This window comes from Homo sapiens, chromosome 9 (assembly GCF_000001405.40).
Source record: "Homo sapiens chromosome 9, GRCh38.p14 Primary Assembly".
Lineage (NCBI taxonomy): Eukaryota > Metazoa > Chordata > Mammalia > Primates > Hominidae > Homo > Homo sapiens.
This window is the reverse complement of record NC_000009.12, coordinates 136,466,519-136,482,137: the sequence shown is the minus strand read 5'-3', so window position 1 is coordinate 136,482,137 and position 15,619 is coordinate 136,466,519. Positions and strand designations below refer to the sequence as shown.

Sequence of the window (15,619 nt, the reverse complement as noted above, 5' to 3'; positions counted from 1 at the left end):
TGGTATCTTGTAGACAAGAGGCAAAATAGCGTGTCTTTCTTGTTCCTTGTTCCTCGTTTACTGTTAATAGTGGTTACTACAGTGAGTCTCAAAATTGTACTTAAAGTTTTCTTTGAGGCAGTGGGCACTTTTTTTTTCTTTTTCTTTGTCTTTTTTTGCCAAATCCAGCAAGAGGTCATGGTAGTGGGTAAATGTTAATGTGATTTCTTCTTCTGTAAGCATCTTTCATGAATACCAGGGTCTTCGTCATTTTCATCAGTGTTAGGCTGCTGGCCTCCTCTGTCGCTGGCTTCCTCTTCAACATCTAACTGTATGTGGTTGCGATTCTAACTTAGAAGAGTTGGAGTTGATCATGTCTTTGTGTCAAGCATCCCACAGTCTGACAGGGCGTCACTAGCAGCCACCGTGAGGGAGACTGTAGGCAGTAGGTAAACTCAGGGGCTTCCTGGCACACTATTGTTTTCCTCACTTAAAATATGAAGCCAGTGGCAGCAAGAGGAGAGGGGTGTGCATGCATTTTAAATGCCTCAGTTCTGTAGCCAGAACTGTACTAAAAAGAGTTTTGCTTAGGTATCCACATGGTTACAAGGCAGTTTAACTGACTAGCTAGGTTTATGAATACTGCATTTTCAAGATCAGCTGGCCTCTTTGGAACAATAAAAGAATTAGATGACTTGAGGTTACAGAATAAAATTCCCTGGGCCGGGCGCGGTGGCTCATGCCTGTAATCCCAGCACTCTGGGAGGCTGAGGCGGGCGGATCACGAGGTCAGGAGATCGAGACCATCCTGGCTAACACGGTGAAACCCCGTCTCTACTGAAAATACAAAAAAAAATTAGCCGGGCGAGGTGGCGGGCGCCTGTAGTCCCAGCTACGCTGGAGGCTGAGGCAGGAGAATGGCGTGAACCCCGGGGGGCGGAGCCTGCAGTGAGCCGAGATCGCGCCACTGCACTCCAGCCTGGGTGAAAGAGCAAGACTCCGTCTCAAAAAAAAAAAAAAAAAAAAAAAGAATAAAATTCCCTGTAGTGGTGACATAGGTGATAGGCAGTTGCATTGTTTTTCTCCTGGTGAGTAGAGAAAAAGATCAAAAAAATCAGTTCAAGTCACAAGATTGTTCCAAATGAAAGTGGCATGTTGCTAAAAAGCTCTCAATTAGGGAGCATGAAGGTTGGAATGCTCCTTGTAAGTGATAATGTTTGCCATAAAAAAGCTCTTAGTCTAGGAGAGCTGCGGAATAATTTTTTTTTTTTTGAGACGGAGTCTCGCTCTGCCCAGGCGGGAGTGCAGTGGCGCGATCTCAGCTCACTGCAAGCTCCGCCTCCCAGGTTTACGCCATTCTCCTGCCTCAGCCTCCCGAGTAGCTGGGATTACAGGCGCCCGCCACCACGCCCGGCTAATTTTTTGTATTTTAGTAGAGACGGGGTTTCACCGTGTTAGCCAGGATGGTCTCGATCTTCTGACCTCTTGATCTGCCCGCCTCGGCCTCCCAAAGTGCTGGGATTACAGGTGTGAGCCACCGTGCCCGGCCACCCCTGTTAAACAGCAGGTGGGATTAGGACATCCCAGAATCCACTGTGAGTAGAATCTCATAAGATTAAACCCGGGTTTTTTAGGAAAAAATAATCACATCGATTCTCGCATTTTATAGACAAAAATACATTGCAGAAAGAGGAGTGGCTGCCTCGAGCCACTCACCTGGACACTCAGTTTTGCTCTCACAGCAGCAGCCAAGGAATAAACCTCTAGGCCCGTGCTCTGTGTTTAAAGCAAACAAAAGCTTTTGAGGATGATAAGGATCTTCCCGGGGAAGGCCATGTCTTGAGAGATGAGGTAGGACCCCAGTTCTGGCAGCAGAGTTTCAGGAGGTGCTTGGAAGTTTGCGTGTTCTGGCCGTGGTTGCAGGTGTCGCTGTGTCTGCTGTGGCTGTGCAGCTGGTAGGACCCAGTGGAAGATAATGCCAGTGCACAGATCAGAGGAAGATGCTCTGCCTGTTCTCCTTTCAGTCCATATAAAATAGAGCTGTGAACATTCTTTGTTTTCAGATGAGAGCCTAAAACCTCCATGAAGCCTTTGCTGCTGTTCCTAGTAAATAGCTTGACTTAAAATACATTGATCAGTGTTTTCTTCTTTTTTTTTTTGAGACAGTTTCACTCTGTCGCCCAGGCTGGAGTGTTGTGGCTTGAACAAGGCTCACTGCAGCCTCAACCTCCCTGGCTCAAGCGATCTTCCCACCTCAGCCTCCCGAGTAGTTGGGACTACAGGCACGCACCACCACGACCGGCATTTTTTTTTTGGTGATGGGGTATCGCTGTGTGTTGCCCAGGCTGGTCTCAAACTGCTGAACTCGAGTGGTCCTCCTACCTCCCAAAGTGCTCGGCTTACAGGTGTGAGCCACTGCACCTGGCCAGTGTTTTCTTCTTTTATCTGAATATCAGAAAGATTTCCAAGAGACCAAAATAATATACATCTGCAAAGATGTGTGGATTGGCCAGGCACGGTGGCTCACGCCTGTAATCCCAGCACTTTGGGAGGCCGAGGCGGGTGGATTATGAGGTCAGGAGATCAAGACCATCCTGGCTAACATGGTGAAACCCCATCTCTACTGAAAAGACAAAAAATTAGCCTGGCATGGTGGCAGGTGCCTGTAGTCCCAGCTGCTCAGGAGGCTGAGGCAGGAGAATGGCATGAACCTGGGAGGCGGAGCTTGCAGTGAGCCGAGATCGCACCACTGCACCCCAGTCTGGGCGACAGAGCAAGACTCCGTCTCAAAAAAAAAAATGTGTGGATTAAACTACAGAGTCCTCCCCTTTGGTTTAATTTTTCCTTTGATTGGCTAAACTTATCTGTTTGTTCATGAGGGTGGTGCTGACAAGAAGAAAGACTGATAGAAAGAAAAGAACTTTCCTAAAGATATAGTCCTTGAATTTTTGCCTTAAGAGGCCAGGTTAACTATTCAAGTTTGTATCTACTATGTTTTATTTAAAAACTGATGGAGGTTTTTGCCCCTTTCTTTTCTGTAAGAGGTTTCTTGGCAATTCTGCCTGTTGTTGAAAGTGTTGGAATCCAGTCTGTGCCTTGTAAAGCTGCTTTAAGTTTCCTGGGAGTTTCCATTCCAGGCACAGTTACGGCTCCAGTTCAAAGGTAACATCTTGCTGGTGGTCCTTTCAGACCTTAAGCCAGTCACAGTACAAAAACGGAGACCTATGAAGAGGTGTGATAAAAGGCATTTAGATGAATATATTTATTTTGCAGTGCTTTTTAAAAAAATGATTGTGTCACTTTTTATTTATTTATTTTTTTAAAATAGAGACCGTCTTGCTCTGTTGCCCAGGCTGGACCGCGGTGGTATAATCATAGCTCACTGCAGCCTCGAACTCATGGACACAAGTGATCTTCCTTCCTTAACCCCCTGAGTCCCTGGGACTACAGGTGTGTGCCACCATGTCTGGCTAACTTTCTTCTTTTGTAGAGACAAGGTCTTGCTATGTTGCCCAGGCTGGTCTCGACCTCCTGGGCTCTGGCAGTCCTTCCACCTTGACCTCCCAAAGTGCTGGGATTACAGGCATGAGCCACTGCACCCAGCCTATTTTGCAGCTTTTATAACTATACTTCATAATGCTCTTTCATCAAAGAAAATGGAAGAATGAATTTTAAACTTTTGTATCCCTTTTGAAATTTAAAATTAACATGTATGGAAAGTATGATATAAAGTTTTCCTTTTTTTTTTTTTTTTTTGAGCTAGGGACTCACTGTGTCACCCAGGCTGAAGGGTAGTGGTGCTGTCATAGCTCACGACAGCCTCAACCTCCCAGGCTGACGCAATCCTCCTGCCTCAGCCTCCTGAGTAGTTGGGACTACAGGTGTGCACCACCATGCCTGGCTGATTTTTGTATTTTTTGTAGAAACGAGATCCCCCTGTTGCTCAGGCTGGCCTCGAATTCCTGGGCTCAAGTGGTCCTCCCGCCTTGGCCTCTTAAAGTGTTGGGAGTACAGGCGTAAGCCACCATATCTGGCCAGTTTTTCTTTCTTAATAGAAGAGTTGGCTCTTCCTGGATCTAGGGATGGTTTACAGGAAAACATTGAGTATCTGTGGGTCTGGTAGCATATCACAGCAGTGGTCAGGTTCCGCACTGTCCCTGTTGTTGTGGCGCGGGTCTGCGGCAGCAATGGGCCCTGTGAGTAGAGGATCCCAGGGGAGGGAGTGGCCATCTAGACATACTCCATCAGCTCGCAGCCAGGCCATCCAGGGTTCTCACTCTGTCCCCTGCCCCCCAGAACAGTTCCTCAGGGACAGGTGTTCTCTGCTGGGGTGGGGTGTAGGGGAGAGAGAGTCCTTGGGATTTAAGTGACATAAAATCATGTTCAATGTTTCTCTTTTTCCTTAGTTTTCCTGATTGCAGCTAGGACTTTGAATATATGGATTTTATGCTGATTTTCTCTTTTTCTTTTCCAGCTCCAATTAAGGAACAGCTATATCCTGCTTCCTTCTGTAAGCAGCATCGACTTGTGCAAGGGTTCAGTCATGCAGCCACCGCCCCAGACGGTCCCGTCTGGCATGGCTGGGCCACCTCCAGCCGGGAATCCTCGGAGCGTGTTCTGGGCTAGCAGCCCTTACAGGAGACGGGCTAATAATAATGCAGCAGTGGCTCCGACAACTTGCCCGTTGCAGCCGGTCACGGATCCATTTGCTTTTAGTAGACAGGCGCTCCAAAGTACACCACTGGGCAGTTCGTCCAAAAGCAGTCCACCTGTCTTGCAAGGCCCAGCCCCCGCAGGGTTTTCTCAGCACCCCGGTTTGCTTGTTCCTCACACACATGCCAGAGATAGCTCTCAGGGACCCTGTGAGCCCCTGCCTGGACCTCTGACACAGCCCAGAGCACATGCCAGTCCGTTTTCTGGTGCATTGACACCTTCAGCACCTCCTGGGCCTGAGATGAACAGGAGTGCAGAGGTCGGTCCCAGTTCAGAGCCTGAAGTTCAGACTCTGCCATATCTTCCTCACTACATTCCAGGAGTGGATCCTGAAACGTCTCATGGGGGCCACCCTCATGGGAACATGCCTGGGCTCGACCGACCCCTGAGCAGGCAAAACCCACATGACGGTGTGGTCACCCCAGCAGCATCCCCTTCCCTCCCTCAGCCTGGTCTGCAGATGCCAGGACAGTGGGGGCCAGTGCAGGGAGGCCCACAGCCCTCGGGGCAACATCGTTCACCCTGCCCTGAAGGACCTGTTCCCAGCGGGGTGCCCTGTGCCACCAGCGTTCCTCATTTCCCCACCCCGTCCATCCTACATCAGGGCCCTGGTCATGAGCAACACAGCCCTCTGGTGGCTCCCCCAGCAGCCTTGCCCAGTGACGGAAGAGACGAGGTGAGCCACTTGCAAAGTGGAAGCCACCTGGCCAATAACTCTGATCCTGAAAGTACATTCAGGCAAAATCCCAGAATTGTGAATCACTGGGCAAGCCCAGAGCTCAGGCAGAATCCAGGAGTGAAGAATGAGCACCGGCCCGCCTCTGCTCTTGTGAACCCCCTCGCCCGGGGAGATAGCCCAGAAAACCGTACGCACCACCCACTGGGGGCTGGGGCCGGGTCTGGCTGTGCCCCGCTAGAAGCAGACTCAGGAGCTTCAGGAGCTCTGGCGATGTTTTTCCAAGGGGGAGAGACAGAAAATGAGGAGAATCTCTCATCTGAAAAAGCAGGCTTATCTGGTCAAGCGGACTTTGACGATTTCTGCTCCAGCCCTGGGCTAGGCCGTCCGCCCGCACCTACACACGTGGGGGCAGGCAGCCTCTGCCAGGCCCTTCTCCCAGGCCCCAGCAATGAGGCTGCTGGTGATGTGTGGGGTGACACAGCGAGCACAGGGGTGCCGGATGCCAGCGGCTCGCAGTATGAGAATGTTGAGAACTTAGAATTTGTTCAGAATCAAGAAGTTCTGCCAAGTGAGCCCCTCAATTTGGACCCTTCCTCCCCGAGTGACCAGTTCAGATATGGGCCCCTTCCTGGGCCAGCTGTGCCCAGGCATGGTGCTGTGTGCCACACCGGAGCCCCTGATGCCACACTGCATACAGTGCACCCTGACAGCGTGTCATCCAGCTATAGCAGCAGAAGCCACGGAAGGCTCTCAGGCTCAGCCAGGCCCCAGGAGCTGGTTGGCACATTCATTCAGCAAGAAGTTGGAAAACCCGAGGATGAAGCTTCAGGTAGTTTTTTTAAGCAAATCGATTCTTCTCCCGTAGGAGGTGAAACAGACGAGACCACTGTGAGCCAGAATTACCGTGGCAGCGTGTCCCAGCCCTCAACCCCGAGCCCCCCGAAACCTACAGGAATATTTCAGACAAGTGCAAATAGTTCTTTCGAACCGGTAAAATCTCACTTAGTTGGGGTAAAACCATTTGAGGCAGATCGCGCCAACGTGGTTGGTGAAGTAAGGGAGACCTGTGTCCGCCAGAAGCAGTGCAGACCAGCTGCCGCCCTGCCCGATGCTTCCCCTGGCAACCTGGAGCAGCCACCAGACAACATGGAGACCCTCTGTGCACCCCAGGTCTGTCCCCTGCCTCTTAACTCCACCACGGAAGCTGTGCACATGCTTCCGCACGCAGGGGCACCGCCCTTGGATACTGTGTATCCAGCACCCGAGAAGAGGCCTTCAGCCAGGACCCAGGGGCCCGTGAAGTGTGAGAGCCCAGCAACGACTCTGTGGGCGCAAAGTGAGCTGCCAGATTTTGGAGGCAACGTCCTTCTGGCCCCTGCAGCCCCGGCGCTTTATGTGTGTGCAAAACCTCAGCCACCTGTTGTTCAGCCTCCAGAAGAGGCGATGTCCGGGCAGCAGTCACGGAACCCAAGCTCGGCGGCCCCGGTGCAGAGCCGAGGTGGCATTGGTGCTTCTGAGAACCTTGAGAATCCTCCCAAAATGGGAGAGGAGGAGGCCCTTCAGTCCCAGGCGAGTTCTGGTTATGCAAGTTTATTATCCTCACCGCCCACTGAGTCTCTGCAGAATCCTCCAGTCTTGATTGCTCAGCCTGATCACAGCTATAATCTGGCTCAGCCCATTAACTTTTCTGTGTCCTTATCGAACTCTCATGAGAAGAATCAGTCCTGGAGAGAGGCTTTGGTGGGGGATAGACCTGCAGTCAGCAGTTGGGCTCTCGGTGGTGATTCTGGGGAGAACACTTCTTTGTCTGGGATTCCAACCAGCTCTGTCCTTAGCTTGTCTCTGCCTAGCAGTGTTGCCCAAAGTAATTTTCCACAAGGTTCTGGTGCTTCCGAAATGGTTTCTAATCAGCCTGCTAATTTGCTGGTTCAACCACCATCCCAGCCAGTTCCAGAGAACTTGGTTCCAGAAAGTCAAAAGGATCGTAAGGCAGGAAGTGCTCTTCCCGGATTTGCTAATAGCCCTGCTGGAAGCACAAGTGTGGTGTTAGTTCCACCTGCACACGGCACCCTGGTGCCTGATGGTAATAAGGCAAACCATTCCAGTCATCAGGAAGACACTTACGGAGCCCTAGACTTTACCTTAAGCAGGACTTTGGAAAATCCTGTAAACGTGTACAACCCGTCCCATTCTGACAGCCTCGCTTCTCAGCAAAGTGTTGCCAGTCATCCCAGACAATCTGGGCCTGGGGCGCCTAACCTTGACCGTTTTTATCAGCAGGTCACGAAAGATGCCCAGGGCCAGCCTGGCCTCGAAAGAGCCCAGCAGGAGCTGGTGCCACCCCAGCAACAGGCTTCTCCCCCACAACTACCCAAAGCCATGTTTTCGGAGCTGTCAAATCCAGAAAGTCTGCCCGCACAGGGACAGGCCCAGAACTCAGCACAGTCACCAGCAAGTCTGGTTCTGGTCGACGCGGGTCAGCAGCTGCCCCCTCGGCCTCCTCAGTCCTCTAGCGTGTCTCTGGTGTCCAGTGGCTCCGGCCAGGCAGCTGTGCCGTCAGAGCAGCCGTGGCCACAGCCAGTGCCTGCACTTGCCCCCGGCCCACCGCCTCAGGACCTGGCCGCCTACTACTACTACCGGCCTTTGTACGATGCCTACCAGCCTCAGTACTCTTTGCCGTACCCACCGGAGCCTGGCGCAGCCTCCCTCTATTACCAGGTAAGAGTCGAGTCGTATGTGTAACCCACTTTTCTGTCTGTGCTTTGACCAGTTGAGTCTCACTCACAGTGTATTCCTTAGTAGTGTTTGTTCGCTTGGTTCCGGGGTCACCCACAGTCCCGCAGGCGTGAGAACAGTATTCCAGTAACGCTTCCTGAGGACAGGGCTCCCGGCTCCAGAACCTACTCTCCCAAGCACAGGCCACCCTTAGTTCACACCACGCGTTAGCATCTTGAATTGCTTATAATACTTGCTTAGGATTTGAACCAGCCTCCCCAGCTTATGTGACAAAAAGAGCCCTCCATTTGCTGTCACCCCTGCTCCTGCTGGCTGTCTGCAGAAAAGTTCTGTCTTGCATGCCTTGGGAAGCTGGGCTAGCCTCTGGAAGCTTACGTCAGAAGCATTGGGTATAACCATAGTCCTTTAAATGCCCCTGGAGAATAAAAACATGGAGAGAAAATAGTTTTGGAGCATGAGCCACACGCATCAGCTAAGCGAGGCGGAGTCCCGCAAGCTGCTGTCAGCACGTGGTGGTGCGGGCAGCGGCTCGGGGACCGGCTGTGCTCGTGCAGAAGATTCTTCTGTGCCTCTTTTTCACAGGGACACCAGCTCATGAGTGACATTTGAGTTAGGTTCCGCATAATCCTGCAGTCGTTCGAAAAGTGTCTGTGTACACATTTGATCATTATCTGCTTTTCCTACCCTCTAACCCAGTTCAACATACACCGATTGGGTTCACCGATTCAGTGTCACCCCAGGTAGAAGGATTGTGTGATAGGGAATTGGAAAACCATGGTCTTGCGGTATGTAAGGCCAGTTGGAACCAGACTTGGGGCCACACAGGAAGGCCTTGCAGTCAGAAGGGGGCCCGCCCCGAGGAGCAAGGCTGCCGTGGCTTGCTGGGTACTGCCCCGGGGAATGGGGCTGGGCCTCCCCCATGGGCCTCGAGCATCATGGTTTGTGTGCGTGTGACCAGGTGCACACCTGACCCCTCAGACCTGTGTAGGTTCCAGAAGGAGCCCAGGCACTTTTTATTTCCATACAAGGACATTCAGCTCTGCTGGGAGCCCTGGGGTGGGGCTGGTGCAGAGCGACGGGAAGCCGTGGCCTCACTTCGGGTCCTTTGTCCGGTCCTCCTGCTGCGAGCCACCTCCCTCCGCAGGAGTGCACTCCTCCCGCCGTGCCTCTTGCTGTGGTGTCCGGGTGGCCAAGGATGAGTCTGTTTTGCTGTGATTTCACATTTCCTGCCAGGCAGCGGCAGCGTCGAGGCCTTGAGGCTTTGAGGCGCTTAAGCGTGAATTCTGGCGTGTGTCCGGGGCACTGCATGTCTTCAGATCCTCATGTGTCCACATGGGCCCCGTTGGGAACAATTCTGTGGCCACGAATTGGTTGGTGATGGGGCTGAAGCCTCCCGAGAATAAAGCACGGTCCGCTTTTAGAGGCTGCTCCTGGCTGGGGCTCTGTTCACTGGGACCCTGGTTCTCTGACTTAACTGAGGTGGCATCTGAAGCGGGACGCAGGGGTTGTTCAAATCATGGCATCTCCACACTGGACTTATCAGGAAGCAGAAACCTAACAGCCCCTTCCAGAAGTCGCCACAGCCCCCTGGGGTTGTCTGCTGACATGCTGGTGCCCTGGGTCCATCCAGAGGTCTCCTGAACAGGGCCAGGGCTGTGGGTCTTAGGACACCCTGCTGCCTGTGGGTGTGGCTGTGCTTTGGAGGTCTGTGTGGTTGTGTATGAGGGAAGGGCCACGCTCAGTCCTGCTGGAGAGCAGCCATCTGCGATGTTTCTAGCTCAGGCTGGTTGTTGGACGAGCTTGCTCTTGGTAGGTATCTAATGCTGCCCGCCCTCTGCAATGTTTCCAGCTCAGGCTGGCTGTTGGACGAGCTTGCTCTTGATTGGTGTCTAATCCTGCCCAAATGCTTCCTCCCACAGGATGTCTACAGCCTCTATGAGCCTCGATACAGGCCCTATGATGGTGCTGCGTCTGCTTACGCCCAGAACTACCGCTATCCCGAGCCCGAGCGGCCCAGCTCCCGAGCCAGCCACTCCTCGGAACGGCCACCTCCCAGGTGCGGCCGCGCCCACCCTGGCTGCCTCTCTGTCCTACTCAGACCCATGTCTGTGTTGCTTGCTATGGGGATAACTTAGTGACTCAAAAAGTTCTGTATTTCTGAAGAATTGTACAAACTTATCTAACATATGTTGACATTTTCTTGGTATGGACAAATTGTAGGGTGTGTTTTTAAATGAAATTAAACACTGCCCCAGGTGGTCATTAGCTGTGCTGGTCAGTTAGCATTTGGCGCCACCCCTACTGGGGCCAGACCCTGCTCAGGGCTGCAGAGAAGCAGCCTCTGACTTGTCTGTGAGCCCCTCTTGACGGGGCACGTCTGTTGGTCCGGCCATTTGCTAATGGGGTGTTCAGGCTCCCCAGAGACACGGCAGCTTTTCACCGGTCTCCGGAGGCCTGGGAGGACTGGTCACAGAGGTGACTTAATTCTTAGACCTGTCAGGCTGGCTACAGAAAGCAGGGCTTGAAAGCCTGTGTTTCCTCTTCTTTTTTTTTCTTTTAAGGCAGGTCTCACTCTGTTGTCCAAGCTGGAGTGCAATGGTGCCATCTTGGCTCACTGCAGCCTTGACCTCCTGAGCCCAAGCAATCTTCCCACTTCAACCTCCCGAGGAGCTGGGACTACAGACATGCCCCATCAAACCCAGCTAATTTTGTTCATTTTTTTTTTTGTAGAGACGAGGGTCTCACTATGTTGGCCAGGCTGGTCTCGAACTCCTGGCCTCAAGGGATCCTCCTGCCCTGGTCTCCCAAAGTGCTAGGATTACAGGCATTAGCCACTGCGCCCGGCCAGCCTATGTTTCTCCTTGACATTGCCGCCTCTGCTTGAAGGCCAGCCATTCCTCTGTTTGCCATTACAGAAGAGGGGTTTGGAAAGACCTGTGGCACTGTGGCTTCAGCTGAGTAGCCCTTTAAGCCAGGTCAGAGTCCTCCTGGGCCCTAGAGCAGAGGAGGCTGTTGTTGATTTTCATCTCCACTCAGGGAGGTGCGCAGAGCCCTGCGAGGGGTGGGCGTGGTCCTGGCCACCGCGCTAGGCTGCGCCTTCCAGGGCCTTAGCTGCACTTGCTCCTTGTGAGATCTGAGAGAGACTGTCTCACAGATAGAGCCTTCCTGCAAGGGGATATTGCTTCTTAAACTTGGTAATAGAGAAAAAGCTACTCATTAATGAAGACTTTGTACCTGCACTTGTTTTTGAAAGGTTCCTCGTGCTTATTAGAGGTTTTTAGGAGCTTACCTAAAGACAAAGGCTCTGTCTGTGAACCTCTGCCCACGCAGCTGGCCCTGGTGTACTCGGCTCCAAGGGCATGCACTGGGCGGTGTGCAGCTGGATGTTGGAGGTGCTTTGTGAAGCAGGCGGCACTGTGAGGCTTCACCTCTCTGGAGGCTGTAATTGTGAGAAAATTCCCAGGATTTGAGCTACTGTGTGTCACCCTGTCACCTGGGAAGCGGGGTTTGAAGTTAAGATCATATTCCGATTCAAAGCCTTCCAGCTCCGGGTGAGGGTGAGCAGACAGGTGTTTCCTAGAGGCCCTGAGAGGCGAGAGCACGGAGGAGAGACAGCCAGGGAGCATTCTCACTGTTCCGTTTTCCTTCTGCTGCTGGCCGCCCTGCCAGGCTCACCTAGGAACCGATTCTGAGAGGCCAGTGGTGGCTCGTGCTACGGAGAAGGCCTTTCACCAGAGGCAGGGTCAGGTCACCACAGGAGTGGCTTTGTCACCAGATCCGCAGGCTTACTCTTCCTTCCTGTGTTCGGATCCTGCGGCTGCCTTCAGCCCTGGCTTGCGCAGGCTCTGGGGAATCCTTTCTGCTCCTTCCCCCGCTTTGGTTGGGGAGCACACGTCTTGCATGTTTGTTCAGCCTCCGTGCTTGTGCGTGGCATGGACTCAACTCTCTGGGCCTGGTGTGGTCAGATCCCCGCAGGCACTGCCTGTCTTAGCCTTGTTGTTTTTGAGACTGTGTTGCTCCTGATGAATGACTGGGGTTGGAAAGGTCGGCTGAGGACACGGCGGCTCCTTGGAAACCCCAAGTCAGATAATTTCTCCAGAACCTGCTGTGGCCACTCAGGCTGTCGGTCAGCAGGGCTCGTTACTGTGGCTGAGCAGTTGGATGTAGGGGGACAAGTGGGCCGGGCCCCATGCCACCCAGCAGCAGCCCCGTCTCATGCAGAGGTGCTGCGCCAACCGAGCAGCCAACCTCAGCGGCGGGTGTGCAGCTCCCGTGATGTCTCCTGAAGGGGCGTGGGAAGGGTCACGTTTTAAAAATTAAATATTGTATGAAAATTATAAAATGCTCTTACATCCTTTCAAGAGTCTTTTTAGGTCTCACCCTTTTAGCCAGGCTGGAGTGCAGTGGTGCCGTCATAGCTCACTGTAGCCTTAAAACCTGCTGGGCTCAAGCCATCCTCCTGCCTCAGCCTCCTGCATAGCTGGGACTACAGGTGTGTGCCACCATGCCTGGCTAATTTTTTTACTGTTTTATGGAGACAGGGTCTCACTGTGTTTACCAGGCTGGCCTTTCAAGAATCTTGAAGGTACCAGAAGGTCTGATACTTGATCATTGTACTAACTTGTGCTTCTCCTGTAGTGAGAGTCAGGATCATGGCTTGGTCTACAAAACCAGCCTTTCTGGGGCACGTGTAGGAATCTGACACCACGTCAGCTCCAGGAGACCTGAGGGGGAGGTGGGGCCATTAGAATCCCGCTCCAGGAGCACACACACGGGCTCTGACGGGGGTACCCTGCACGGGTACAGGGAGTACCAACAGCCAGTGGTCTGGGGTCGAGGCTGTGAAACTGGCATTTTAGGTTGGTTTGAATGGCTCAGTGAGACCGGGCACTGTGGGTCACTCCTGCAATCCCAGCACTTTAGGAGGCTGAGGTGGGTGGATCGCTTGACCCCAGGTGTTCGAGACCAGCCTCGGCAACATGGTGAAACCCCATGTCTATGAAAAATATAAAAAATTAGCCAGGTGTGGTAGCGCGTGCCTGTAGTCCCAGCTACTCAGAAGCTGAGGTGGGAGGATTGCTTGAGCCTGGGAGGTGGAGGTTGTGTTAAGCTGAGATCATGTCACTGCACTCCAGCCTATGCGACAGAGTGAAACCTGTCTCAAGAAAAAAAAAGAAAGCTCAGTCCATTTTGTCCTCTACTGAGCATAATATCAAAAATTCTAGGACTTATTTTAGCATTGACTTTTATAGGCTACAGCAATGAGAACACAAAAAGGGTCAGTTCTTTTTAGCCGAACGGCTCTTAGTTATTTTACCAAGATGAATTTGAATTAGCCGTATGGTGGGAAATTCCACAGTCTCATCCTTGCTACTGTTTTGAATCTTCTAATTGGAATTTTTGTACAACCAAAGTGCTTTGATGAATGCCCATTGCTTTGGGAATGATTTGTATTGGCTGATGTCACACTTTAAGAAATAGGTAATTTGTGTTTTAACAGCACTGTGTGTTTTTTCAGGCAAGGATATCCTGAAGGATACTATAGTTCCAAAAGTGGATGGAGCAGTCAGAGCGATTACTATGCAAGCTATTACTCCAGCCAGTACGATTATGGAGGTATGTCAAGGAACTCCAAGCAGCTGGCCTTAGCAGGTGCCTTGTGCAAAAGACACTGATGACATGCAGCCCTGGCCAGCCAGCACCTGCTGGTGACTTCCAGGAAATGTCCCCTTTTATTAATCTCTTTATGTTTTTGCCCAAAAGCCAAAATAGTTGAAAATACTTTGTATTTGGAAATAATTATATTGATATTTTTCATTACTAAATTACATCTTAATCTTAGCATGAGTGCATCTTTGTCATATTGGCAGATTTCTCTGATTTTCTAGTGGAACATAACTAGCAGTTCGAGAGCTGCTGTGTCCACACGTGCCTTCGTAAACATAAACGGATGAAAAGGAAGTGAAATGAAAAACCATCTCCTCGGTCCCACCAGCCGTGTTTCCCGCACTCCTGACCACAGGAGGCTGGCAGCTGCTGCCTGGGGCGGTGTGGACATGGGCCACCCCACCGGGCAGCGACCTGGGTGCTCCCTGGCGACGTCCAGCTGCAGCCACATCTGTCCTCCATGCAGTGTGTGCGGCACAGTGGCCATGTCCCCGGGAAGAGCCTCCTCCGGTCACTCCTGCCCTGGCTGTGGCCTCTAGTGCTCTGGGCCCTGAATCCCCTTGACAAGTATCAAATATCCTCTTTGATATTTGCACCTGTTTTAAATATAAATTTAAAAAAGAAAAGACATCTTTAGAAAAGATGATAAAAGACCTTTTAAGAACTTTTTCTTAATACTTGCTAAAAACACTTGCTGAAAATGGTATATCCAGTTTGTTTAGAGCCCTTTTAAAGTAACCTTTTAATATTGAGATTATTTTTGAAAACCTTATGAGTCACATTAAGGAGAAGAAATAGTAGTAAAATTTACAGTTAGGGGATTAACTAGTCAAAAGCAGCAACCGTGAAAGAGAACTGGCTGGGCACAGTGGCTCACACCTGTGATCCCAGCACTTAGGGAGGCTGAGGTGTGGGAGAAGCACTTGAGCCCAGGAGTTCAAGAACAGCCTGCGAAACATAGTAAGACCCCATCTCTGTTTAAGAAAAGAAGAAGAAAAAGGACTTAATAAAGAAATCTTTTAGCACCTTTTCTAAAAATATTTTTTCCTTTTAATCTAAAACACTTGTATTGAGAGAAAAATCAGCCAGTTGCCTTTAGGTAGCTAGGGCCCTCCAGATCTCATGGCTTCCTGGTGTCGTGCTGGTTTCCAGGAAGAAGCTGGGTTTCTCGAGGAGTCCTTGGAGCATAAAGTCCTGGGGTGGTGTCGCTTCTTTAGTGATATCTGAGGCATTTCTTCTTTTGCATGTTACTGTATTAATCATTAATTCCTTGCTCACAGATCCAGGTCACTGGGATCGTTACCACTACAGTGCTAGAGTCAGGGACCCCCGCACCTATGACCGGAGGTATTGGTGTGATGCAGAGTATGACGCATACAGGAGAGAGCACTCTGCCTTCGGGGACAGGTTGGTGGAGCACCCCTGGGGAGGCAGAGGCTGGGGGCAGCCAGGGCGCGCTAGTGCTTCTCTGCCCTCATGTCTGGGTTTTAACAAAGAGCTGTGGTAGTTTGGGTGAGCATCTGCCTGATGTTTTGGTCCCTGTCTGAAAGGAAGGAGGGAGCAGACCCTCCCAGGGTTCCCAGCTTGGACTGTTAGAGGAGAACTGGCCTCAGCAAGAGGACTGTTCAGCACCTCTGGGAGCACCTGGGAGATTGGGCTCACTCTTTCTCATCGTCCCTTCTTACCGGTCGCGCCCTGCAGCCCAGAGAAGTGACCACACTGGAGACGCATTCGCAGTACTTCTCTAACGTTGCACGTCAGAGGGCCCTGAGTGTCGGGTGTGCTGTGTTGTGCCTCGGCCCCAGGGGTCTCGGTCTCAGCTCCTGGGCAGCTGCGTGGCACATG

The 15,619-nt window shown here is 51.8% G+C and overlaps 1 protein-coding gene across 52 annotated transcripts in view; it reads left to right on the top strand.

Moving 5' to 3' along the window:
* Positions 1–15,619, top strand: part of SEC16A (SEC16 homolog A, endoplasmic reticulum export factor) — a 44,636-nt gene that overhangs the window by 2,603 nt on the left and 26,414 nt on the right. For 29 of the 52 annotated variants that reach the window (XM_047424240.1, XM_047424236.1, XM_047424239.1 and 26 more), the window contains exons 2-5: positions 4,454–8,089; positions 10,027–10,163; positions 13,626–13,723; positions 15,055–15,181. In XM_047424240.1, coding sequence (XP_047280196.1) covers positions 4,523–8,089; positions 10,027–10,163; positions 13,626–13,723; positions 15,055–15,181 — 3,929 coding nt within the window. In that variant the 5' untranslated portion in view covers positions 4,454–4,522. Of the gene's footprint in view, positions 1–3,307; positions 3,430–4,453; positions 8,090–10,026; positions 10,164–13,625; positions 13,724–15,054; positions 15,182–15,619 lie in introns of all 52 variants that reach the window. The other 23 variants (XM_047424252.1, XM_047424250.1, XM_047424248.1 and 20 more) reach the window with 2 other exon arrangements.